General features: G+C 39.7%; 1 protein-coding gene across 13 annotated transcripts in view, besides 2 other annotated features; it reads right to left on the bottom strand.

Moving 5' to 3' along the window:
• TENM2 (teneurin transmembrane protein 2) overlaps positions 1 to 25,639 on the bottom strand; it is a 1,285,129-nt gene that overhangs the window by 686,677 nt on the left and 572,813 nt on the right. For 4 of the 13 annotated variants that reach the window (XM_017009665.2, NM_001368145.1, NM_001368146.1 and 1 more), the window contains exon 1: positions 3,455 to 3,822. The exons of the other annotated variants lie outside the window; for them this stretch is intronic. In XM_017009665.2, coding sequence (XP_016865154.1) covers positions 3,455 to 3,500 — 46 coding nt within the window. In that variant the 5' untranslated portion in view covers positions 3,501 to 3,822. Of the gene's footprint in view, positions 1 to 3,454; positions 3,823 to 25,639 lie in introns of those variants that run through there. 13 annotated transcript variants of the gene reach the window in all.
• Positions 3,180 to 3,805: an enhancer, noted in NCBI's record as "NANOG-H3K27ac-H3K4me1 hESC enhancer chr5:167000681-167001306 (GRCh37/hg19 assembly coordinates)". NCBI's record gives its function as "activates a minimal SCP1, AML or CMV promoter by ChIP-STARR-seq in naive H9 embryonic stem cells {active_cell/tissue: H9 hESC(naive)}" and the evidence as "EXISTENCE:reporter gene assay evidence [ECO:0000049][PMID:30033119]".
• Positions 3,806 to 4,431: an enhancer, noted in NCBI's record as "NANOG-H3K27ac-H3K4me1 hESC enhancer chr5:167000055-167000680 (GRCh37/hg19 assembly coordinates)". NCBI's record gives its function as "activates a minimal SCP1, AML or CMV promoter by ChIP-STARR-seq in naive H9 embryonic stem cells {active_cell/tissue: H9 hESC(naive)}" and the evidence as "EXISTENCE:reporter gene assay evidence [ECO:0000049][PMID:30033119]".

Below are 25,639 nucleotides of genomic sequence, written 5' to 3'. Positions count from 1 at the left end.
CTTTTTCCTCCCAGAAAAGAGAAATAAATAGGTGTTAAATCAAAACATCCTATGGAGCATTTCACACCTCAGGAAGGAAAACTGACAAAGAGGTGATTCAATGCCAAAGAAGAATCCACCAGCAAAGAACTAGGTCGGCTTAAAGTAAGAAAACCGAAAGCTCTCCAACATAGGTTACACCCTTGTCCTGTCTGCAAGTGCTTTTGTAATACCCTACGTCCCCCTCTCATTGGAAAAAACATATACACTTCCCTTTCACTATTGAAATCAGTTAATTGATCATTTCCAAAAATAAATACTCCCATAGATAGAGGTCATTGGTCCTGAAATTGCATCAGTTCCTGTCTGGGTACGAGATTCCTGGGCTCCTCTGGGACGTCTTTGTCATTTTATCACAGTGATTACAAGCAGAGCAGTTCCAGCGTGGGTCCCCTCAGTTTCTAGTGCTTATGTTTGCTCTCTGCATTCCTATTTTCTCCATCAAGCCTTATAGCTTTTGCTTTGGAAATCTGACACTTAATATCCAATGTTAATTACATTTCCTATTCTGAGGAAAATCCTATTGGGCTAATTTTTCAAAATCATATAATGAAAGAACTTCAGTGACAAATCATGTAGGTTTTCGATTGTTTTTTACGGGTAGATCTATTAAGCACTTAATATTCAGTGGGAAAACAGTCTCAGAGCAATGAAATTCTATTACTTTAGAGGTTGCATGCTTTTAATTTCTTAATATTTCATTACATGTTGGCAACTGGTGCATATTTTTATAATGCGTTTGATCATTACTCTTCTCAGGGTATTCTATTTCAGTTCTTCCTCTGACATCATATTTGCATGTTAAAGGGTTTTAGCATTCAGGGATGAAATGTTCTGAATAGTAATGTGCAGTTAAGTTGATTTTTTGAAAACGGAACACAGCAAACAGACATTATATATAGGGACTAAAGAGAACAATCTCATAATTTTAAAATCGAACTCAAGTTTTAATAGCTTTCTATAGAACATCATAAACGGTAATGATTCAATATAATTCATTAATTAGCAAATTATGCAAAATGCTATCAGCAGAGTTTGGGGAGAAGAATCTTTTTTCTTGGCTTTTATAAGTCTACTGCATTTCTTTTTTTCCTGTAAAAAAAAAAAAAATGCTCTTTTCTTTGCTCTCCAGCAACATCTACTGGAAAATTCAGAAAAATGCTATTTATATGAATCAAATAGTTTGAGTAAGGATAGCTTTGATTACCATCTGCCTAAAAAGTACATGCTGAACTACAATCCAGTTTACAATGAAATTATTTCTGCTTACTTTAGTTCTATTTTGTTCTCTAAGAAAAGGACAGTTGTTTGGTGAGGCAAATAGCCAAGTCGCAACTTCAAATTTATCATTGCCTCACCTGGAAGAAGTCATTTTCATAAATAAAAGCAAAGCATATATGATACAGACAACATATTTCTCTTGGCCCATCCCTTCAACACTTGCCACTTATTTGAGAAATAATCATCATTATCAGCAGCAGAATAACAGCTTTCAATAGTTAGGTGTAGCTGGAGTCAGAGAAAAATTTCACGCAGGAAAAAACGATGTAGAAAAAAAACGAGATTGAATTTGAGAAAAGCTACTTCAAGATTCTGCAAAGTTTCTTAAGCTGAAAAAAAATTACATGTGATGCGATTTTAAAAACTCACTATGCTACCACCAGCACGATTGCATCAAACATTCGACAGCAGTGTCTTTTTCTCTTGTCTGCATCTTTCCCTATTCTTTCAACCATGAGGAAAAATTAAGTCTCCCCAACCTGTATCAGGGGCTTCCCAGGGAACTTCCACCAGAGATTATCTCTGGATGATGAAGTATGATCAGACCCACAGTCCATTTGGTCTCTACTCCCCACTACTCAGCAGTTTCTGATGTCCTCATAAAATTGGATTCATAGGCTGCACCCACAAGATGCCATCAGATGGTCTGGCAAACGCGAGACATGCCAGGGTATGATATTGAGGAGCAAGTCCGGTTTGGAAACTTGGGAAGAAAAAAATCTTATCTCCAGACAAATACATAAAATATCCTCCCTTCCGTGGCCGCTGAAATCAACAATGCCATAGTAGTGCAGTTCTTTCTAGGACCAAACCTAGTACAGGTACTGAAGTCACCCTTGTATATATCATTCCAGAGGAGGATTCTTTTAACTGAATTTTGTACTTTTAATATTCAGATTTTCTCATAAAAACATTTAAAAATGAATTTTAAACATTCTATGCTATCTTTTAGGTAAAATCTTAGATATAATCTGGATTTCTGTTATCCTTAATTAGAAACTTGGCTAATCAGAGGTGGGTTTGGGTTGTTTTTTTTTTTTTTCTTTCTCAAATCTCAGTTTTTTCATGTCAGCAATACATTTTAGCAGCAGAAGCAATGAACACAGAATCAACAAAGACTGAGGTTAAAAACACATAATCAAAACTTTAAAACAACAGAAGTAGCAACAAAAATCAAGTGCTGGGAGATCATGCATTTTGTGTTTGTTCAATGTTAAAATAGATATGAGCCTTTTAAGCTTCACCCCAAAGCTCTTTAAAGGAGACATGCCATCAAATATAATCCACAACTCTCATAGCACACAAAAGGGACATATTTCTAAAAGCTACGTACAATGAAAATCCATATGTATTCCACATTTAGGATCCTGATGCAAAGTTCCGACTCGAGACTGGTAATCAGCCCCTCCATTATTGAGCCGCTTAGAATCCAGAAAGGTTTATCAAACAGCACCTCCAGAGTTAACTCCCATTTCAAACTGTCATAATTCAGTTCTCCTAATTATTTACCAGATCCCTTTCTACAACATGCCCTAACCTGATGTTTTAACTTCATATTTCATTTGGGACAACACTTAATCTCTATTTATGAACCATCAACCTGACACACGTTAAGGAGATATAAGAAGCGCTTCACCCACAAGATCCAAGCCAAACAAACCCCAGTAGCTCGACTTAAATAAACTCTACCCTTGCTAAAACCTCCAGTGAAAAATTATTATAACACATCAGAAGTTCAGTTAGAAGAAAAATTTCAAATGGCAGCTGTCTCCTAGGGTTTAAGTCCCGGAGTTCAAAAGCAGTATCAATTGGATTATTTTTCTTTCCGTTAGCTGTTTAGAATTTAACGTAATGCAAAGTGCTATTCTGATCAAAATCATCTTTCTCATCTCTCTCCTTAAATAAAACGGAGGAGAAATCATTCAGTATAAATGCATTTACTATACAAATCTATTTTCAATTGAATTTGCTGCATGCTCTAATTCATCAAAATTAATACAGGTACTTTCTATGTTAAACAAAAGGAAGCCGACTGAAAAATCGGCTTCTGCTGCGGATGCCTTTCTCAATTACAAAACGGTGAAAACAGAGATTTAACTAAGCCACTCGGTCAAACCCTCCGATCGGCGCTTACCTGCCTCAGCTGAAGGCTTCCTTCCCTTGTTAGCAGCGTGCAGCATCTCTAGCTCGCTCCAATCCTTACCACCGGTCTCAAATTACACTGCTAAGTCCACCCCCCGCCTTTTTTTTTCTTTCTTTTTTTTTCTTTTCTTTTTTTTTTTTCCAGCAAGAAAATGCTTATTGAAAGTGATTAGTTTTTGTTGTCCCTTTTAAGTCCCTCCTGCGGGAAGGAACAGGGGAGCAATGTGACGCCACCTTTTAATCTTTTGTAAGAGTGAAAAGGCAGAAAAGGAACGCTCGATCAAACTGAGCTGCATACATGCCTAAAACTCGCAGGAGAGGCTGCTGCTGCCTGGCGAAAGCACCGCTAGGCTTGAGTGTAAGAACAGAGAAGAGAGGAGAGTCAATGAATTGTGACAACGTATGTGCATCAAAGGCAGGAGGAGAGAGAGAACAATGAGCGAGGGAAAGACAGCGAGGAGAGAGGGAGAGAAGCAGAGAGAGAGAGGGGGAGAGGGGGAGAGAGAGAGAGAGAGAGACAGAGAACATCAAGAAAAGAGAGCGGGTTTCAGGCAAAGGATTCTCAGAATAAAGCCACAGTGCAGTGTCTGGCAGCTTCTGTTTTTATCTCAGCGAGCATGATACACTGCCTCTCTCATTTAGAAACACATTCGTGTATCTCCCAGGTTTGAAAACTGAGATAATCGCAGTGTGTCTCTGGGTTTGTCTGATTGGCATTTAACTGTGTGGTATACCTGTGATTTTTTAGGATGCATTTATGTGCAATTTATTTCGCATATTTATTTATGTAGGCAAAAATGAAAGCTGCTAATTTCTACGGCAATTTGCAATGTAGTTTTACTGGCAGATGGAACTCTACTTATCATAACTGCTGACAAACTGCCATGGGTAAACAAAAGAAGAAACAAATGCTTCGTCTTGATAATTGTCTTAAAGAAAAAAAAAAAGAGCCCACACCAAAATATTAGCACTACAAAACCTGTGTTTCCTAGTTCAAGTTTAAACGGTGTTTCTCTTCATTAGTTTTCATTAATAAAGGCAAAATAAAAGGGAGGGCATGGTGTCTGAAGGAAAGGTATTGGAAAAGAAGCTATTAGGAAAGTGAAAAACCTAAATTATTTCTGGTTTCCCTCCAAATGTGACAACAGGATTGCTTTCGTGAGTCCTAGAACAGAGTTTTTGAGTCACTATTGCTACAGACTTTTACTGCATCCTTCTCCCTTCCTGTACCATTTTAAAGAAGGTTCCATTTTTGACACGAAGTCGAAAAGAAATGATTTCCCAATTCAAATTGTTTCAAATGGTGTGTCACCAGCTTTGTTCCATTTCTACTCATCTCCTACCACATGGGGGCTAGGATTACACAGTTAAATTCCCTAAGTGACCTCTTTTATAAGAATGTAAATTGCTGGTTCCAAGGTCAACTATTTGGTATAAGTTATTGGTGAAAATGACTGCTTACCTTTCATGGTAAGCAGAGCTAAAACAGTAGTAAGTGAACAGGAAGAGGAGATGCCCAAGCTTTTGACTGGCCATCTCTTCGAAATTAAGCAATTCCAATATCCGAAAGTAAATTCTATGTGCCCTACTTATAACAATTATCATTTTAGAAACATAAAAAATAGAAAAACCCAAGTACACAACCATTTCAACTATCTTATGTCCCAACAACATATCCCCGGACCCTAGGCATCTTGCAATTTGGAATTCCTATGTAAGCCACCAGATATAGAATGAGAAATGGTCCAAGAAGAATAACACTCTCTTCCCCCACACTGGCCACATTGCTGTGCCCAAAGAGGGATTGCTTAATCTTGTTAAACTCGAAGTGTCATACTCTTCATGGTTTGCCAATAGGAGGGTATGTTTTTCCCTTGGACCCAAATAAAGAAGTAATCCCCACCTCCACCCTAATGTGCTTAGGATGAAACTCTACTTATCATTAAGGCAGAGCAGAGAATGGAGAACACACAGGGGCTGAACAGAAGGCAGCTGGCCAGAGAACAGAGAGTGCTCAGATGTAGAAGGGAAAAGGGAGCTGCAAGGCCTGGCTAGCAGGGAGGGAAGTGGTGACTGGGAAATCCGGAAATCTCTGCGGACATTTTGCAGAGTGTATTGGAAGCAGCCTCCTTTAAATGACATTATTGATACAGGTTCTACAGTTAAAATTTACTTTATACAAGGGAATAAGTGGACTGAGAATTTTCTGCCAATAAAAATAAAGACCCAGTTACAAGGATGCAACTATTTCAGCACGCAACTATTTCAGCACAATAAAAACAGGGGAAGGGGCCCGAGGTTTATTGAACAGCATCTGCAAAACATTGTCAATGAGAGATAAAAAGAAATCTCCAAAGCAGACAAAAGGAGAGATTTTTTTAAAGCTACAAATGGCTATCAGTGCTGTTGTTTATTTTTACCGCTTCCTTAGTGAGGAGGTGGGTTCCCTGAGTGGATATCATTTGTAGTGGAGTGGATATGTGTGATTTAAGATACCTTGAGTAGGGTGGGGGGCTAGGTGATTATACTGGGGTGACCAAGTCATATTAATATTTCTTACAGGAATGTAACTTTTATGTGACTTATTTCTCTGTGGGAGAGCTTTACATTCATATGCTTATATGACAGCGTATGATACAGTAGTTAAGTGCTCAGTTTTTGGAACCAGGTTACCCTGCCTAAGATTGAATCCCAGCTCCACTACCTACTGCTGTGTGACCTTGACTGAGTTATTTTGTCTCATTGTGTCCTCATCTTAAGATGGGTGTAAGGCTACCTGCTTCATGGGTTGTCATTAAGAATAAACAATGTCTGTGCCGTGGTAGGTCCTGCTCCCAGCACATAGCAAGTGCATCAGTAAATGTGAACTTCCATTGTTAGGAAACCCACTCAACAGCTTTTTAAAATTTTAAAAATGGATAACATGGACAATATTTCATCACCTCAAAATGGATGACTCATAAAGACTTCTTTCCACTCTGACCCTCTTTACAAGCTACAGTTCTTCAAATTCCCCTCTGGGTTTTTCCACTTGGATAATATGCTTAAAACTCAATAAGTTCTACCACTCAACTCATGAACTCACCCTCGAAGCAAGCCCTTTCTCCAAATCTCCTCACCAGTGTAAAATGTAAAATCCTTCAAGCCATTCAGGGCTCAGTTCTTCCCCCACCACAATCATTCAATTACCAATAACTTAAATACCAACCCCATATCTCTTAAAGTTACTGTTTTCAGACCTCTGACATTTCTTGATTTGTGTACTTTTGCCTGGACAGTTGCAATAATTCTTCAATGCAGCTCTTCTTTAGGCTGTTTTAGTTGTGCTGAAACACATGAAGGGCGGTGAAATGCAACACCCATTCCAGGGGGCATTCCTAGGGTTCTGGCAAGGACTGCACCAGAGATCGTAACACCGCCTTTCCCCTTCTCAAGAATGCACTTGGAATCTGAATGAAAGGAGAATGACATTATTCTACATACGACCTTGACTCTGCCCTAATCTATAAACTAGCTAATGTTTGGCAAACAAATACTTTTCTATTAGTGCCTTGTTCATTGTGACACTTCTCCCAACTGTCGTGACACAGCCATTGAAAACAGCCGTTTTAAGAGGTTTTTTTTTTTCTTCTCCAATTCATCCTTCTTAAAATGCCACTCTGAATGACATCCATTCCCAATAGTTATTGATTGGTCAATTGAAAGTCTGTTTTATTTCATTATCTTATGTATCGGCTTGCACATCATCTAAGGTTCACAATTCCTTAGAGAATCAAGTGCAGATTTGTTTGCCTCAACTTCAGTCGCCTCTGTGGTTTGACACCAACCTATCCATGTAAACACTGGTTCTATCCCTACTGCACAAGAGCTTACTGTCCGCCCAGCCTGATGCATATGCATCCCTTTCAGAGCCTCAAGTACATTATTCGTTCTGTTTAGAACGGCCTTTTCTCTTTCATATCAACATATTTAACTCCAATCTTTTATCAGAGACCAGGACAGGTTACATGTCCTCCACAAGTATATCCTTGACTTTCTTGGTTTACATTGATGAAACTGTTAATTCCCATAGCTATCACAGTGCTCTCGGATGTATCATAATTAGGAGCTGGGCTTTGGGGTTAGTCCTAAGTCCAAATTCCCACCCTGAAATTTGTTTCCTAATTGTGGAACATGGGTCAAATTCTTTTACTCTCTAAACCCTGCTCTCCCCATCTGTAAAATATTGTGAGAACTTAATAGCTAATCCATGTAAAGCTATTATATAATAGCTAGTATATAGCTAACACCTACCCAATAATGAAATAGTTCATAGTAATGGGAATGCTTCTTAAATGACAGGGACTTATCATTGCCTCTAATTTCTAACCTTGCAACAACTCACCAAATGGCTGTTGCTGGAACCATTTTACAGACAACAAAACTGAGATTTAGCAAAATTAACTTACCCGACATCACACAAGGAGCAAATGGCAAAGCCAGGATATTAACCCTTGTCTTCCTACCTTCTAGTTATTTTTATCCATGTCAGGCATTCAGACTTAGCTTATGCCACATTGGTTTATTATTACTTGGCTTTTCTGGTTTGTGCCCCGTTCTTCCATATATGTTTAAATTAAATGAGAACAATATTCACATTTTAAACACTTTGCATCTTTAGTACCTCCCACAATCTGTAAACAAAGTAGCTTGCTTATTCGGTAAATATTTGTTGAGTGTTTGATCATCTATGCTCATGGGGATTAAGTTTTTAAACACATTTAAATTCAGCAACACTTTTTTTGGGGAAATGTTTTCATCACGTTTTCCACGAAAATCATCAAAATTATACAAAATAATATAAAAGACAAACATTACATATGAATGATGTAGCTATGGCTGCACAGATAGAAACAAATGCAGTTCTCTGCAAAAAAAAAAAAAAAAAAAAAAAAAAAAAAGCTGTAGGAAGGTGATACTCATTGATTTCGGTCCTCATACTTGGCATTTACATTCTGCTTGAAGATGGGCCCCTCAGGCCACCCATTCCATGCATGGAAAAGGAAAAGTTATTAGCTGATAGTCATCCTTTTAAGGTTACACAGAAAGACAGAACTAACCACACAAATACCCACAGCGTTTAATCACCTTTAATTCTTTCTTTTTAAGTAAATGCATTAATTATGTTCTCTTTTATTTTCTCTCTGGCTAAGTCTATATAATACTAAAACAATCTGGAACAACATAAAAAATTCCATCAACCTATGTGATGTTTTTCTGTGTACATGGTGATGAACAATATTGTTGAATTTTCAACAAGTTGAATAAATGCTTTTATTTGAAATATATATTTTTATACACACACACACACACACACACACACACACACACACCATGGTCTCTGCCTGTCTGTGCACAAATGAAAAACAATAGAACTAAGATAAAGAACTGCCTGTGCTCCCCATATTAGGATAATCAATGGTGTCACACACTTACTGTCTTGAAATATTTGCATAAACTTCATGAAGTCAGCGTGTTTTTATTGTTGTTGTTGTTGTTCACTGCTATATTCCTAGTAGCTAGACCAGTGCCTAACACATGGTGAGTGTTCAGTATATGTGGGTCTGATACATGAATGAGCCATTCAATTTTGCCTACATTCATCTATTTCTAGCAGTGTTTTAAAATCTGGTCTATACACCTCCAAACACATTTTGTACCCTGCTATCTCCCTATGTTTTCCTTTTGCATGGAAGGATTTGTTAAATGTATGCTATCCTTTGTTCAAAATAAGATACTTCTCCAACCAAAAATATTTTTTCTACATTATATTAGCTCACAGTAAATGCTCTTTCCTCCCATGTCTAAGCACCCATTGCCGAGAACATTTTAATACATATAATTTTCCCATTAATCTTGTCCTGCCTTTGGATATCTCATACCATTGGTGAACTGTTATTCTTCTAATATTACTAGGTCTTTTTTATTTGATTTATATCTTACTTCATCACATAGATTTTAAGTATACTGAAGGTTACATGAGCGAAGTATTTTTTTTTTTTGTACAATATATATTGCTATTCCTTTGAGTACTACCTTGTACCTAGAATGCACTTATTAAAAAAGACATGTTGATTTGGTGGGCATGCAATTCTGATGGGCATGCAATTCTGTCATTCGGAAATTATGTGAAAGAGCTTATAATACAGTCCCTGGCCTTTTAAAAACTGTTGTTAAAATACAGCTAGTATAATGTAAAAGTGCATAATTTATTTGTAGCGTTTTTACCCCTGGGGTTGTATGAAAGGCCATTTATTTATTTACTTTGTTATGTATTTGTGTGTGTGTGCACATGCTGCGCATCAACCAGTGTTCAAGTTGGTGTCAAAATTAGCTCATCCCAACAAATTGAGATTCTTGTGGTAGGAAGAATTAACAACTGCCCTCTGGAAGCATATCGTTTTCCCCCAATCGTTTATACATTAGTTGGAAGTCAGTTTGTGTTGACCCATGGGCAGCTAATCCTCAGAGAGAGAGTTCTCAATTCTATAGGGTCTCTTCTAGGAGGTCATTTCAGGCCCAATTATACAATCTCTCTCTTCTACGAGGTTTGTTTTTCCTTAGGGTGAATATGATATGAAAGAACATTGTGGAAGAAACCTCATCTTAATAAGCCTTTTACCTTGGACAAAATAAGCTTTCTTAAGAAAGATTTTTCACCCTCATAATGCTTCCTTCTTGATTCACTAAAGATTCATGCTCCTGAAATTGCCTATATATTTTTTCCAAAAAGAAAAAGAAATTCTCCAAAATAAGAAAAGAGCATAACCTTTGAAGTTTCAAAAAAGCCCTTAATGTATCTTTCTTATTTGTAAAGATGAGATAATTTGGGTCGATTTTTATATCCGTTTCCAAACTTGCAATGAGTATATAATGTGATTAAAGGTTTGTGATATAAATAGTTTTCTGAAATTAGTTTATTGGCTTATTATAATTATATCAGATCTTATTTAGCCAATTAAAACAAATTATTTTGCTTATAAAACTGCTCACATTAATTAACATGTTCTGGCATTTTGGTTTTTGTCTGCTGAACAGAAGTCTGTCTTGTCTGTTTTCCATTTCTGTTTTGCATAGTAATTGGAACAACCCCTTAAGTGAAAACCAAAGTAGCGGAGCCACCTTATCATAAAGTAAAAATGGAAAGCAAATCAAGAGAGAACCTTAAATCTCTGCTTCCCATGGTGGACCGAATAGAGTTGGCCTCAATGAAACTCTAAGTAAGAATTTACGTTCCTCTCCATTGAGTTGAATACAGGCTTTGGTGGACTATTTGGTTCTTGTTACTGATGTTTCTCAATATGGAACGTTTGAAAGCATCCAACCAGAAGTTGCACAATGATCACAGCCTTGAACGTATTCATCAGAAAAACGCATTCACTGCTACAGGTTTTATTTTTACAGGAACCAGTGTGCTGCACTGTTTGCGAGTTTCTTCAATGCTCTTACCCATGACAATCACAAAAGCAATTCACAACCTTACTTATCAGATAGTTCTGTTTTACAATAATCTGGTTGCTATTTGTAAAATCCAGGAAAAAACAGTGCAATTTCTGATGCTGAATATCTGAAAAGCTCTGGAAGCTGCTAGGAAGAGATATGCACTAAAATATGTAATGTGATGGAATTACAACAGACAGACATTCTGGAGGGTGTACACTCTAGTGCATCTCAGAGTACGTGACATCTAATGGCGCTACTTTCAAGATTTGCAAAGAAATTCTGCATTTAAACGGCTCCCTTCCACTCACAGTTTTCTTAGCTCCCCTATTTAACTCTTTCATTAAAAAAAAAAAGAGAACTCTCTCAAAAAGAATGATCAACCAAAACAATCGCCAGTGAATAACTGTTTCCAGAACAAAATGAAAGTAGGGATCTCAATGAGATCATTTATTTCATGAGCTAGTTCCTAAAACTTTAGATGTACCATAAAAGCAAAAACATCTTTCTGATGAGAATTTAACTCACACAAAAAAGTGGTGATTTTAACAGCTGACAAATCCCCTATAATAAGGGGCTTAAACAACAACAACAAACAAACAAACCACTTTTCCAGTGATTAGTCTGTGCAGATGTCAAAGAAAAGTGCCATACACTCCCTTAAAGAATATAGACGCCAGTTAAATCTTTTTGGGTGTTTTCATGACCATATATTAGTGTGAGAGCAAAATGGGAATAACATACACCACTGAGAGGCAGTATAGTGCAATAGATAAAGTGATTGAATTTCAATCCCTGATCTCAGCACATAGCATTAGCTAAATTACTTCACCGCTGTCTACCTCAACTTCTCCGTCTATGAAATGGGACCAGTATCTCCAAGTTTCTGATAATAAGATAAACAAAAAACATTAGCATATTTATAAAGGCAGATAGCCCTATCATTTCTTTGTGCAGTTAAATTCTACCAAAGCTAAATCTACTCTAAGAGGAAAAAGAATTGCATTATGGAAGCTAAATGTTGTTCCGGAAGCTGCTGGGGCACCAATTAATAGAGTGATGTAATAAACCACTCAATAATCCTGCACTGGCTGAAAGAATTAATGCAGCTCACCTCTGTTGCTGTGAGTGCAATACCATGTACTCAGAGGGTGCTCGATAAATATTAGCTGATGATGATATTGACAGGGTGCTGTGTAGTCACGGCACTAAGTGAATTGCTAAGTTTACAATTGTACAGAAAACTCGTTGAATAATTATTGGCAATAAAAGAAACCTATCCCTGACCTCATTTACTATATTATGACATCATCTCACGCATAATAAGACCATCACCAATCCCTGGAAGCTTAATAGCCTTGTCCTACTGACTTGACACAATAAAAATAAGGTCATCCTGTAAAACATATTTAGAATTTGGGTACTTCTTAAAACTTTCATTGTTAGCACTCTGTTGCAGTCTATCACCATTTCTTTTCTGGATTTTGTAGCGCCTCTCAATTGTTTTCCATGATTTCTACTTTAGGCCCCTGTGGCAGTTCCTTATGCTGGGGATTCCTAATGTATCTTACCTTCGTGTATTCACAGTCTTGTATAGTTCTCTCTCATACTGACTCTGGGATTGGCCAGACTCTGGGATTGGCCATGACTTGCTTTGGCCAATAGGCCATTAACAAACATGATGCAAGAAAAGGCACAAGAAGTTCTTGAGCATAGGGGCTTGCCCTGCTGGAAGAATGCCATCCCCATGAAAGAAAGCCTTTTCTGGCCTCCTAGAAGATGAAAAACCAAGAGGAGGGAAACGCTCAAATATTTCATGGAGTCCAGCCCCCATGAAACCCACCAGCTAGATGAAACTGTACAAGTGAGTACAGGCAAGTCCCCCAAAAGAACTGCCTGTTGGACACACCAGAATGTGAGCAACAATCATTTCCTCTTGTTTCAATCTGCCAAGTTCTGCTGCATTTTTTATCTAGTAATAAATTACTGATACATCCCCTGCTGATTATTTCCAACTCTGCTAATCAGGGTGATTCTTTTACAATGTAAGCCAGATAATCTTACTCCTCCTCAAAGCCATCTATGAGCTCCTTATCTCAGAGGAGCCCAAGTCTTCCTAAAGACTTGACTTTCTAAAGACTTGACATGCTCTGCCCTTCCCTCAATTTATCCGATGTCAACTCCACTAATCTCTCCCTCACTTTTCTCTTTTCAGCTGCATAGGCCTCTACCTCAAAGGTTCTTCTTCATGAACATGGATTACTTTCACACTCTGTTTGGGTGTTTCCTCCAAAATCATTTTTTCTCAGCAGGGCTTGCCCTGATCAAACTGCATCATCTCCTTGCCCCCAATTCTCCATCCTCCCTTTCTGTTCCTTTCCATTGCACTTAAGACTTCTAAATCACTATATGGTTTACTGATTTTGGTCACTGTCTGACTCGCTTTCTCAGAATGTAAGCTTCAAGAGGGTCAGAAGTTGTCTTTTTGGTCCCCACACTTAGAACAATGGCTGGTACATAGGATAGACTTAGTAAGTACAGTCGTGCACCAGTTAGCCATGGGGATACATTCTGAGACATGAATCCTTAGGCGATTTTGTCATTGTGCAAACATCATAGAGTGCACTTACACAAACCTAGATGGTAAACCCTACTTCACACCTAAGCTGTATGGCATAGCCTGTTGCTACCAGGCTTCAAACCGGTACAGCATGTTACTGTCCTGAATACTGTAGGCAATTATAACACAATGATAAGTATTTTAATATCTCAACATGTCTAACCATAGAAAAAGTACAGTAAAAACACTGTATAGAAGATAAAAACGGTTACACTATATAGGGCAGTTCCATTATAATCTTATGGGACCACTGTTGTATATGAGGTCTGTCCCTGACTGAAATGTTGTTATTTGGTGCATTACCGTATTTGCTAAACTATAAAATTAATACTTCTGGTTAGGGTGCCCAGGGCTACAGATTGGGTTCTATATTTAATGGCAATGCTGAGATTGGATAGACTCTGTAAGGACACACAGTTGGTGCAACTTACAAAGATTTACGAGACATCACTTGGCAGAAAACAGAAGTAGCCTTGTGGTCAAGGAGAAGAGAAGGTCAAGAAGGTTCTTTGGGAAGTATTTCATCAGAAGGTCTTTTCACAGGTGGTGAGAACCACAATCAAAAGCAAAGAGAGGCGAGTACTCACCAGAATAGCCACCATGGAAAGGCTAAGGAGGAACCCAAGGGAAGAAAAGGAGACTCTCCAAGCCTGCTTGAATTTAAAAGGCAAGTGGCACAGGGAGAAAGATGCCTCCAAAGGGTAAATCTGATCTTTTTGTGGAAGACAAAGTTTATGATGTGCTTGCACCTTTTTCAGGAAAAGCCTAAAAATAAAGCCAAATATATCTGAGGCTTGGTCTTTTCATGCTGATATCAGAGTTGAGAATGCACACTGAGCCAACATTGCTACAGTACCTAGGCATGTGCCCAGGGATGTGACACACTGGCATTTAGGCTCCATAAACATGTAGATCACAAGTGGTAGGCTTGCTTTTTCTTTTTCTTTTTTTTTTTTTTTTTTGAGACAGAATTTCGCTCTTGTTGCCCAGGCTGGAGTGCAGTGGTGCGATCTCGGCTCACTGCAACCTCCGCCTCCCAGGTTCAAGCGATTCTCCTGCCTCAGCCTCCCGAGCAGCTGGGACTACAGGCGCCTGCCAACACGCCTGGCTAAATTTTGTATTTTTGGTAGAGACAGGGTTTCACCGTGTTGGCCAGGCTGGTCTTGAACTCCTGACCTCAGGTGATCCACCCGCCTCAGCCTCCCAAAATGCTGGGATTACAGGCATGACTTGCCACCATTTTCTATTTGACTGATCACAAGGTTGGCCAAGCAGCAGTCACAGGCTTCCATTTGAATACTTCACATTCTGAGCTCTTCTCAGGAGAAAAGGTCCATCTTACAAAGGCACAGTCTAGGCTGGCAGCGTGGCCTCCAGCTCTCAGTTCAGGTGTGTGGACAATAATTTACCTTAGTTAGTGCAGAACAGACGTGACCTGGGATGACTTCACCTCACCAACTCAATCTTTGTGCAAATCTTATCTGAAACCATCCATTTTCCTCCTTGCCCACACCTCATTCTCCCCATTGTTCTGCAATTATTTATTATCTGGGTCCGTAATTGTATTGTTTCTAGCAGCCATGCAAACTCTATTGTTAGGGGGAAAAAATGCCTCTTTGCCCAACTAGATTCTCTTGTGTGGGGAATAAAGGATGTTAGAGCTCTTAATATACAGCTCTCTATGTTCAATTTTCCTAAAAACGAAAATTGCCAAAAAGCAAAGCATGCAGGAGACGGATGGATGGATGCCATCGCAGCCTCACGCTCCTGCTGATGGATGGTGTGCCCTGAATGACTGGGAGCACTCACTAACTCACTGCCATACCTCCTGCTTTCAGGGAAGCTGGCACAGCCATCCCTTCCAAGAGCGAATCCCTCCACGCTCACCATCTCTTTAACTGCCTCACTTAGTCATACCCGGCCTTTTCCAAAACCAAAGCACCAACAGGCACAGAGACTATCCCAGCCCAGCAAATGACGAAGCTGAAAGGTGGCGCTAGGACTCTGTCTCTCTGTCTCTCTTTTTATTTTTACGGTTCTAATGTATACATGTTAGCATTTGATCTCACTTAAAATATTTACTTCATGATTTGTGGTAGGGGAAATGTCATTAAAAAAAATTCCTTTAGCTTAATTACAAAAGATGTAAATGTGGTCTCACTTGCAGAAAAAAGTTACTCTTAACAATGAGGTGTAAATTGGTGTCTGCTTAATCTATTCACAGCAGGAATAAAGCCTAACACTCGCCTCCTCACCCTTATTTTTGCAGTAGTACCTGGGAAATTAATACCTTCTTGGGAGCTCTTGCAGCATCTCTGATTTTTTAAGGGAAAAACAACATAGACGTTTCATCTTGATCTTTCTACCAGCTGTAAGGACATTTATTTTGCTCCATTTTGGGCAACTGTTTTGAACCACGGACCACAGTTACACTGTCTGACCTCCGTCATGGGCAGCAAAAGTTCAGCCTTCTCCTCTTCCTCTAACAATTATGGCCTCCTGCACATCCCAGAATGGAGTGAAATTAATAGGGGAACCAGAATGTTATTTATACAATGACCTTGGGCTCCTGGGGGAATTGCAGGCCCTATCCTTTCACTTATGATGTTTTACATTTCAAAGAACCTAGCTCTCTTTGATATTAAAGAATGAAATGTGCAATGTAATTGTTATTGTTTTATGACCTTTAATAGGTTAATCAGGTTGCATCAGGTTTTCCAGGGTGTGATTCTGTACCAAAGGAAATGATTTGCCTCATAGTAGATGGATTCTGACAAAAGGGCTCAACATTAATATTTGAGAGGATGAATATACCAAGGTACCTAAATCCTCAAGAAAAAATGGTGATTTTGCTTACCTCAGTTCCTCTGTGGATAATAGCGATTTCTCAACTGGCATGATTGACATTTTGGGCTGGATCATGGCTTGTTGTGGGGCTGTCCTGTGCATCACGGGCTGTTAGGCAGCATTCCTGAACTCTACCCACTAGATACACACAGCCCACCTTCTCCCCAGTTCATGACAATCTAATGCCTCCAGGCAATGCCAACTGTCCCCTGGGGAGGAAAATCAACCCCAGTTGAGAGCTATGAGGGTAATTTTTTAAAGTTGAGGTGGGGATGTTCTTTTTGGAATTATGATATAGTATAGAACCTACTGGCTGAAATGATAATTCATATAGTAGTAGCTAATGTTTCTTGAGAGCTCTCTGTGAACCAATTAGCACCATGCCAATTGCTTTATATGTTTGCTCCCATTTGATCCTAAAAACAAACCTATGAGATAGCAATTATGATCTGCATTTTACAGTTATGGCAACTGAGGCTTAGAGGAGACAAATAATGTGCTCAAGACTGCCCAGCTGTGAAGTGGAAGAGTCAAATATGCCTAAACCCAGAGCTCCCTTACAGGTGGCACTCTTCCCTTTCTGGTGTACATACTACCACTCTCCCTGTGGTTATAATCCGAATATCTGCATTAAATTCAGGAGTTGATCAAGTACCACTGTGCTAGGAAAATCACCTACATGCTAAACAGATCTAAGAAAAAAAAATAAGGCGATGCTTGCCCTCAACTGTCGCATGCAAAATGAAGAGTATAATACAGAAATAGGTAATAAAAGGTAAAATGCAGTAAGAGAGACTAAAGAGGTTAGAGACGGAGTGCTCTGGGACCACAGCCTTCAATGTACACAAGAGTCACCTGGGGTGGTGTTAAAATGCAGGTTTTGATTCAGTAGATGTGGACTGGAGCCTGGGATTCTGTATTGCTAACCAGCTCCTGGGTGATGATGGCACTGGTCTGAAGACCTCACTTCAAGCAGGTCACTGTTACTGTGCTGGGAAGTGTAGCTTCCATGCATTTGAGAAGTGAGGCACAACAGTACGGATCTGAGATGCCAAGGAAGCATCGCCACAGAGTGGGAGGGGTGAGAGGAGGGGTGGGGATTGCCTTGGTCGTGAGAGCCACCCTTGTCTGTCAGCCCTGCACTTGGAGCAAATGTGGAGTGCCTGCATTTGTCGACCACCCACATATACAGCTAAACATCTGCTATTTTTAAAGGACAGATATTAATTTGAAGCACGAAAACACCTACCCATTGAACATAACTGATTTCTGCAAACACATTATATTCTCATGAACAGTTTCATACTTTTGGAAGAGAAGACTTCTTTCTCTCCAAAATACTATGATATGGGATACATAAGAAATATCTCCATGCCCCCTTACTCCCACCCCTACAGGCACTGAGATATGAATGGCTGTGGAGCTGCAATGGGCCACGCATGTATTTAACAAGGAAAAAAACTACAGGTGGGAGGCCAAGAACAAAAAGAGATTTTTTTAATCCAGTGAAGATCACTATTAAAATGATGGTTCTGAGGACTGTAAACTGCATTACCATTTGTTTAGCTGTGCTCAGAAAGTCAGAAACCAAGTCCTGTAATAAACATTCCTAAAGCAATGGTTTGAGAACTGATCTCCACTAATGGTTGTGGCCTCTTCACCCAGTCCACAGTGACCATGACAGATCACAAACTGTTTTGTGACATCTGGATTTGACTGGGGGTCAGAATGAAGGGGATGAATTTTGAGTCACTTGGCTTTCTGGGCATATTCAGCTAATTCTCCATCCACATTGCAGGGGGACACAACGGAGGGATGATTTGCTGGGATGTAGAGATGGACCATAGTTAATACAAAGGCTGAGACGCTGAGAAGTGCAACCAACCAACTACTGCCATATTCTACTCAGATATGAAGTGGGAGGTCTGAATTGTATATATTTGAGGTTATGGGTGTCACAACCATTCAAACTGCATTGCACAATGATGGAGTAAGATTGTGAGTTTATGTTCATTCATTAAGCTCCCACTATGTGCCAGGCCCTGGGATGTATAGATCAACACTGTTGCTCCTGTCCTCAGGGGCTAGCTGAGATAAAGTGTTCCCCATTCATGAATCATTTGTGTTATACCTTGATGATTTTTACTGCTGACTGTACCTAATTGATATGTACTCAGTTTTTTTTTTTTTTCCCTTGGACCAGCAGTCCCCAACCTTTTTGGCACCAGGGTCTGGATTCATGGAAGACCATTTTTGCATGGACCCAGTGGATGGTGGTGGTGGGGATGATTTCGGGATGACTAAAGCACATTACATTTATTGTACACTTTATTTCTATTATTATTACATACTCACCATAATGTAGAATCAGTGGGAGCCCTGAGCTTGTTTTCCCGTAACTAGATGGTCCCATCAGGGGGTGATGGAAGACAGTGACAGATCATCAGGCATTAGATTCTCATAAGAAATGCACAACCTAGATCCCATGCATGCGCATTTCATAATGGGGTTCATGCTCCTATGCGAATCTAATGCTGCTGCTGCTGATCTGACAGGAGGTGGAGCTCAGCTTCGCTCACTCACCTGCCACTCCTGCCATGCAGCCGGGTTCCTAACACTACTGGTCTGTGGCCGGGGGGTTGGGGACCCTTGCTTTAGACAATTTCAGTTTTTATACTTTCAATTTGGCCTCATCTTAAGTAACAATATCTGTGAAATTATGTGTTTGAAGTACTTCTCAGGAATGATCAAACCAGTTGCTAAAATATTAAAATAAACTTCTGTGACTATTGGAAGACAAAGCCTACCTCAGCCTTGGGAGTGTCTACCACCACCCTGGGACTGTGGCCAAGCCTCATGGGCTTCCCCAGGATCCAGAAAATTCAAAGTCAGACCAGGCACAGGCTGGAGCTTCTAGCATCCTGATGCCACACTCCAGACAGTGTCTGTTCTGACGGGCTTGAACCCATTCCTTAGTGGTTCTGCTTCCAAAAAGCACTGAAGGTTTCTGTTTCACGGCTTTTAGAAGATCTTCTATGCAATTATCTTAAAAACAAAATAAACCCTCCTGCTCCAAAAGCCTGTTGCACAGCAGTTCCAATTACTAAATCTGCAATATGAGAAGTTATATTTTCTCCAAGGTTCAAATACTCTCTTCTGTAAAATGAGTATAATGTAAACATTTCCTACTTCATGGATTAAATCAAGATTTTTTTCAACCTCAGCACTATTGACATGTTGGGCCAGATAATTCTCTCTTGTGGGTGACAGTCCTGAGCACTGTGTGATGTTTAGCAGCCTCCCTGGATCCACGAGATGCCAGTAGCATCTTGCAAGCCATGGCAATCAAGAATGTCTCTAGAGATTGTCTAATGTCCCCTGGAGGGCAGAATCACCCCCCTACTGGGTATGACTGAGGTAAGTGAAATAAGCCACGTACAGTCTCAGGCTAGGATCGGGCTCATATTATAACCTCAGTAGTATTCAGTGCACTTATCAAGCATTTCCTACATGCTTGGCATGCTTCCAAGCACTTTAAATCTATTGCTTCTTTAAACTGTTACATAACCTTGTGAGCTAGGCCTTGTTATTATTCCCATTTTATGAATGAGGAAAATAAATGCAGGAGAGTAAAAGTAACTTGCTTGAAATTTCATAATGAGTCACTGGCAGAGCTGGGATTTGAACACAGGCAATCCATCTCCAGAGCTCATGCTCTTAGCTTTTTTGCTTTCCTACCCTTGTAGAAGAGGAAGTCTCCACAAAATAGGCATCATGGTGACAATCGTGATGGTAAGAATATTGATGAAAATTACATAACCACACAATAGGCTAAGATTTTTATATTAAAATTATATTCCACATTTTAAAAACTCACAAAGAAGCATATAAGGTACTTGATAAGAAATTCAAATATGGATCATCCATAATTAAATTTTCACATGCCAATGGTCTGTGTACACGCACACACGCTTTTCTCAAAATGATTAGAAAACTCTCTCAAAATGATTAGAAAACTCTTAAATTTCCCAAAGCCAATAAAGATTAAAAACAAACAATAAAAAACTTAACATTTTAAATAAAGAAATGTGCATTCTGGTAGAATCCCTAATTGACATTATAAGGAGTTCAGAGAATTCAGAAACTGTGCTAACATGCAGGGCTGTCCCACTGCTGTGAGAAGACCCTTTGGAAAATGAGATGCTGTGATCAACACGGGCACCTAAAATACAAGTGAGACCAAGGGATGGGGGGTACTTGCTGCACTCCGCATTGGTGAATGAGCCTTGCATGTTCTCCCAGGGATTCTTCTCACCCCAATGTCCTAGGCAGCCAGTATACATCAAAAGCATTGACACAGACTGAATTCTACTTATCAAGGGTGGTCTAAGCGAGCTCAGAAAAGTCCACTGACCTACTATGGTGGCTAGAGAACTATCTCTCTAAGCTGTCTTTCTACCTAGCAACAAAAGGAAATATTTGGTGACATTAAGTGCCCGTGGAAACAAAGTGTGGGTTTACATAAGTACATATGTATTGTTTCCTCTGACAAACAAAAATTCATAACCCAAAATCAAAATCAACACAACTAGAATAAGCAAACGTACACGCTGAATTTTGATGTGACAGATACATATATATATATATATATGTAAGTATACATACATATATATGAAAGAGAAACTGAACTGTAGACTTAGAATAACAATTCAGAAAGATGCCATTATTGCCTTCCTCTAAAGTTTTAGAATCCAGGCTACCATTGAATTAAGTTTGTCATTGTTGAACACAGAAAAATGAGAGCTTTTCTACATTTGACTGAAAATCTTTGCATTTCTTCCAGTCTGAAATAGAAACTTGCAATTAAATCAATTAAGCAATGAAAATCAAATATTCCATTAAAATCTAATTTTCCTCATATCTGATTGGTTGTAACTCAACTGAGCTGGAAACAGATGACAGAGGCAAAATGACTCAAAGTCTAAGACATGGAGACAGGAGAAAGGGAAAATATTTAACATGTTCATAGGAAATTTAATAAGGGCATTTTATTTTCCTTCTGCTTGTGTAAGTTTAACCATTAGGGGTTCCCCAAACATAGGATTTGAGAACTAATGCGGCTCACTTTAATGAAAACAGCAAGGTTCCTTTCTCTTCTATCTTCTTTTTGCAATCATGTCGTTGAAGTTTCTTTGTCGCCTTATGGAATTTGAAAAGGCTCGACCAAGCTCATTTCAGAGGGTGCCGTGCAGCTTTGGAGCTCTCCAGCAGGCCCAGAATTTAGTTGCTACGACCGACAGTCAGATTGAAATTGGCTGTGTTTACTGATTCCGAGAGTTACAGACCCAACATGTCAGGGAGGGATTTATTCTTCTTAGTAGCAAATGGAGGAGTTGTCTCTAGGGGATTTAGGGAAAGAACATGCCAACTGACTTACACATTCTTTTCCCCTCGTTCCTACAGGTGACACAAGCTAGCGACTTCCATACCAGCAATCCCTCCATGAATGGAAGGCCAAATCTCCAAATATGAGGTGGAAAATGACTTCTTATGTTGTACAAAAAGCCGTACAGTGAGGAGAAGACAATAACTTACAAGTGAGATGTTTTTCCAGGGTTTAACGGACAGTAGGGTATCCAACCAAGTTTGAGTTAAATATAATATTGAATATGAATTTTTGAAACATATAAATGAGCAAAAAGAAAAGGGAAAAATTACCATAGTAAGCTTCAAATGTTAAACACAAAGGTGCAGTTGGTCAGTATTTCTCAGAGGGCTTTTTAAAATTCATTCGTCAAAACTATTTTTAAGGCCAAACTGCTGAGATCTCCCAGAAAGCAGCTCATGTGTTTGGTTGTCGTAGCCAGCCCCAAATTAGGTAGATCTGAGAAAGTAGACAGAGCTGCAAATGCTTTTCCAAGAGCCAATGGAAACAAGTGTGTGTGTTTGTGTGTGCATGTGTGTATGCATGTGTGTGTGTGCGTGCACGCGCATGACTGTGTGCTGCGGCAGAAAGGAAAGTGTTTACTTCAATTGGTACCATTGCTTTCCAGAGAGATGAGTGATGGGAAATGTGTGTTTTTAATCCTGACTATTGAAAAAAAATTAATTTATAAGGATTTTCTTTGCTTTCCTACTCACACTCCCCCCAAGCATCTGTCTACTCTGAGCAATTGGAACAGGTTGGAGGAGGAGGAGGAGGAGGAGGAGCAGAGAGAGAGAGAAGCTCCTTTGAAAGTAAACAGCTGCTCTTGAGTTTCTTATCTTTGCCACCCTCTTGGCCCAATCCACTTCTTGGTCACACTGATAGTGGTTAGGAATACAGGCCCTGGGGTCAAACTGGTTGGGTCTGAATTCCAGCCCCTCTGTGTACCAGCTTAGTGACCATGGCCAACTTACTTCACCTTTCTGTGCCTCAGTATCCTCACCTGCAAAGTGCAAAAAATAGCAGTACACATGCCCTGAGGTTGTTATGAGAATTAACCATAAAAGTCGCTTAGAATGGTGGCCATTGGAAGTGTCTTTTCTCCACAGCTAAGTATCCACAGCTCTGAATGTACCTGTCACTGCTCCATCTACCCTCAAAGCAGGACTATAACCCACAATCTCCTTTGCCATTGGACTCCTTTAAATGATGAACACTGTATCGTGAGGTCACAGAATCTAAGCATCTGATCAGAACAAGTGTCAGAAAATGAATGAAAATAATCATCACTCCTTTTAAAAACACATATGCTCAAGTCTTTCCAAGGAGTCTGGCTGGGTTATCATCTTTTCTATTTAGAGTATAATGCAGCTAGCTATTGCACCAAGGCATGGTAACCTTCCTTACTTCAATTTAACCATTGCTCTGGTCCAGAACAAGGTCACTCCTATTTTAGAGTCTAGATAAATCACAATTTGTTGTCCATAAAATTGGAGGGCGGTACTGCAAAATAAGTGAGAAAATGGATATTGCTGTGGTGGGAATTCTGGACAAAAAATTAAATTGTGCCAGGGGAAAGCCTATAGAATGATCCCCAGACACTTCCCATGAGAATCAAGCCCTGTTTGAGAAACTCCTCGCCATGTGCCATTATGTTGTGAGACCTGAAGAGGACCCTTCCATGCTGACAGAAGACCCCCATCTCGCCCTCCTCCTCCCCTTCTCAGGGAGACACTGGGCTCTGTCCAGCCTGCCTGGCCCACCTGGGATCTTCTAGGTCTTTCTATCACAATACTGCTTTAGAAAAGTCTGTGTGAAGGAGGGGACTCTGGTATTTAACTCCATCCATCAATGTCAACCCCTCTTTCCCCTCTACCCCAACAGCTTGGTCCATTTACCTAAAAGCTGAATAGTCTAAATGGATGGATTTTGTGCTGGTCTCATTAGAAAGGGAAATTAGCCAGGCACCATTCAGCTGTGCAGAAGGCATGCTGATCCTGAAAGCCCTTTCCAACCCCCGCCCCCAATCTTTTCTTCATCACATATGACGTCCATGATTCCCTTAACATTTCTTAAAGCTTTCATTATCCACCACTCTAGTTTGTAATGAATACAAAGCTCTGAGTTCCCATCTCCTTGTCTCATTACCCAGCCCAGAGCTAGGCACAGATCTGGACGCTATGTGAGAGTAGATGACTTCCTATGCTGTCCTGCTCTTTGACACCTGTTTATACATTCATAGTTGGCCTTTGATAAATCAGCGCTATTTACTGACACAGTACTATCAAAAGTTTAGGTCCTGCTGCCCCTCCAGCCCCATTTATACTACCCTCCTCCCAGCCCTCTGTTCCTGACACACTGACCTGCTGTCAACTCTTGGGAACTGTAGGCTCCCTGTCACCATTGAGCCAGTGCTCATGTCTTTATGTGTCCGGAATGGTCTTCCCTGCTCCTCACATAGTTCACTATTCTTCATCCTTTAGTTTCAGCACATGACTCGTTTCCTTAGAGAAATCTTCTCTGATCCCATCAAGCTTCATCAGTTTCCTTTGCTGTGTGTCCTCTAGAACCATGTCTGTCTATCAAAGCATTTTCCCCAGCTTGTAATTATGTCTTTATTGGTTGCCTATTTGATTAATGTCTTGCTTCTCTACTAGACAATAATTCTGTTCTGGGGACAAGAACTATGTCTCACTTATTCATTCATTCATTCATTCATTCATTCATTATTAACTTACCATTGCACATCAGCACCTATCATAGTGTCTGGCAGCTAGTAGGTGTTTACTAAGTATTTGTCAAATGAAGAAAGTTCATGCAACCATGAGGGGCAATGCCATTAGGATGTTTAAGAATGTAACTCCTCTAGTTATCTATTACTTTTTATGTCCCTAGAGACAGAAAGAGAAGAAATCTCAGTCATATACGCAACACACCTTTATGGAATACCTCCTATGATCCAGGCTTTGCAGACAAGCCAATCATCTTCCATGCCCAAAGCAGCAAACTCCTCCAGTGCTGATGGGCATTGCCTCCAGTGGTAATTAGCATTACCAGGCTACAATGTCAATAGGTGTCTGCACAATGCTAACATAATCCCTTTTTTGTGGGCGGCGGGTTGGGGGGAAGGATGGGAGCTCATCTTTTGTTCTTAGTAATCTCAGTGGCATTCAGCCTTGACTAAATATGGTGGCTTCCTAAGAAGCGTTTCAAAAATATTAGATGAATATTAGTGGCTCCAGAGAATCAAGGTAAAAATCATGGGAAAGAATTATCGTTCTCAAAATTAATACTAAATAAAAAACAAATGATGACAAGTGAAGTTTTCTGATGTACTGAAAAAGGACTACAGCACCCACTTGACTCTGCCTAACGTGCACCTGAGTATATTTATGCAGCTTGAACTTTAGGATTTTATGGAGTTCTGATTAATAACACAGCTATTTCAGGCTATTTGGTACAAGTGGACCAAGAATTTTGCCGCCTTGCCTAGCTCATTCATTTGTGATAGCTTTGCAATGACAATGGCCTAGAGATACTTTTCAGGACACTTGAGAATTTCGATTAATAAGTAATAGACTTAAGTGATTTATTGCAGGTATTATGCTTTTTCTCCCCAGAAAACCCACAACCTAGCTGTTCAGGGAATGAACTATTTGAGAACAATTGCCAAGGAGCTGTTAACTTCTGTGACTGCCTGGCTTGAAGGAGTTCACCCACATTCCCCTGTTCCCTCACCAGTAGCCTAGAAGTCAACACCAACTTGGGAGACTTCATGATTCAAGTACTGCAGAGATTGCCTTTAG

Source organism: Homo sapiens, chromosome 5 (genome assembly GCF_000001405.40).
Source record: "Homo sapiens chromosome 5, GRCh38.p14 Primary Assembly".
NCBI lineage: Eukaryota > Metazoa > Chordata > Mammalia > Primates > Hominidae > Homo > Homo sapiens.
Note: the sequence above shows the minus strand (reverse complement) of the source record. Positions and strands in the feature narration are given on the sequence as shown.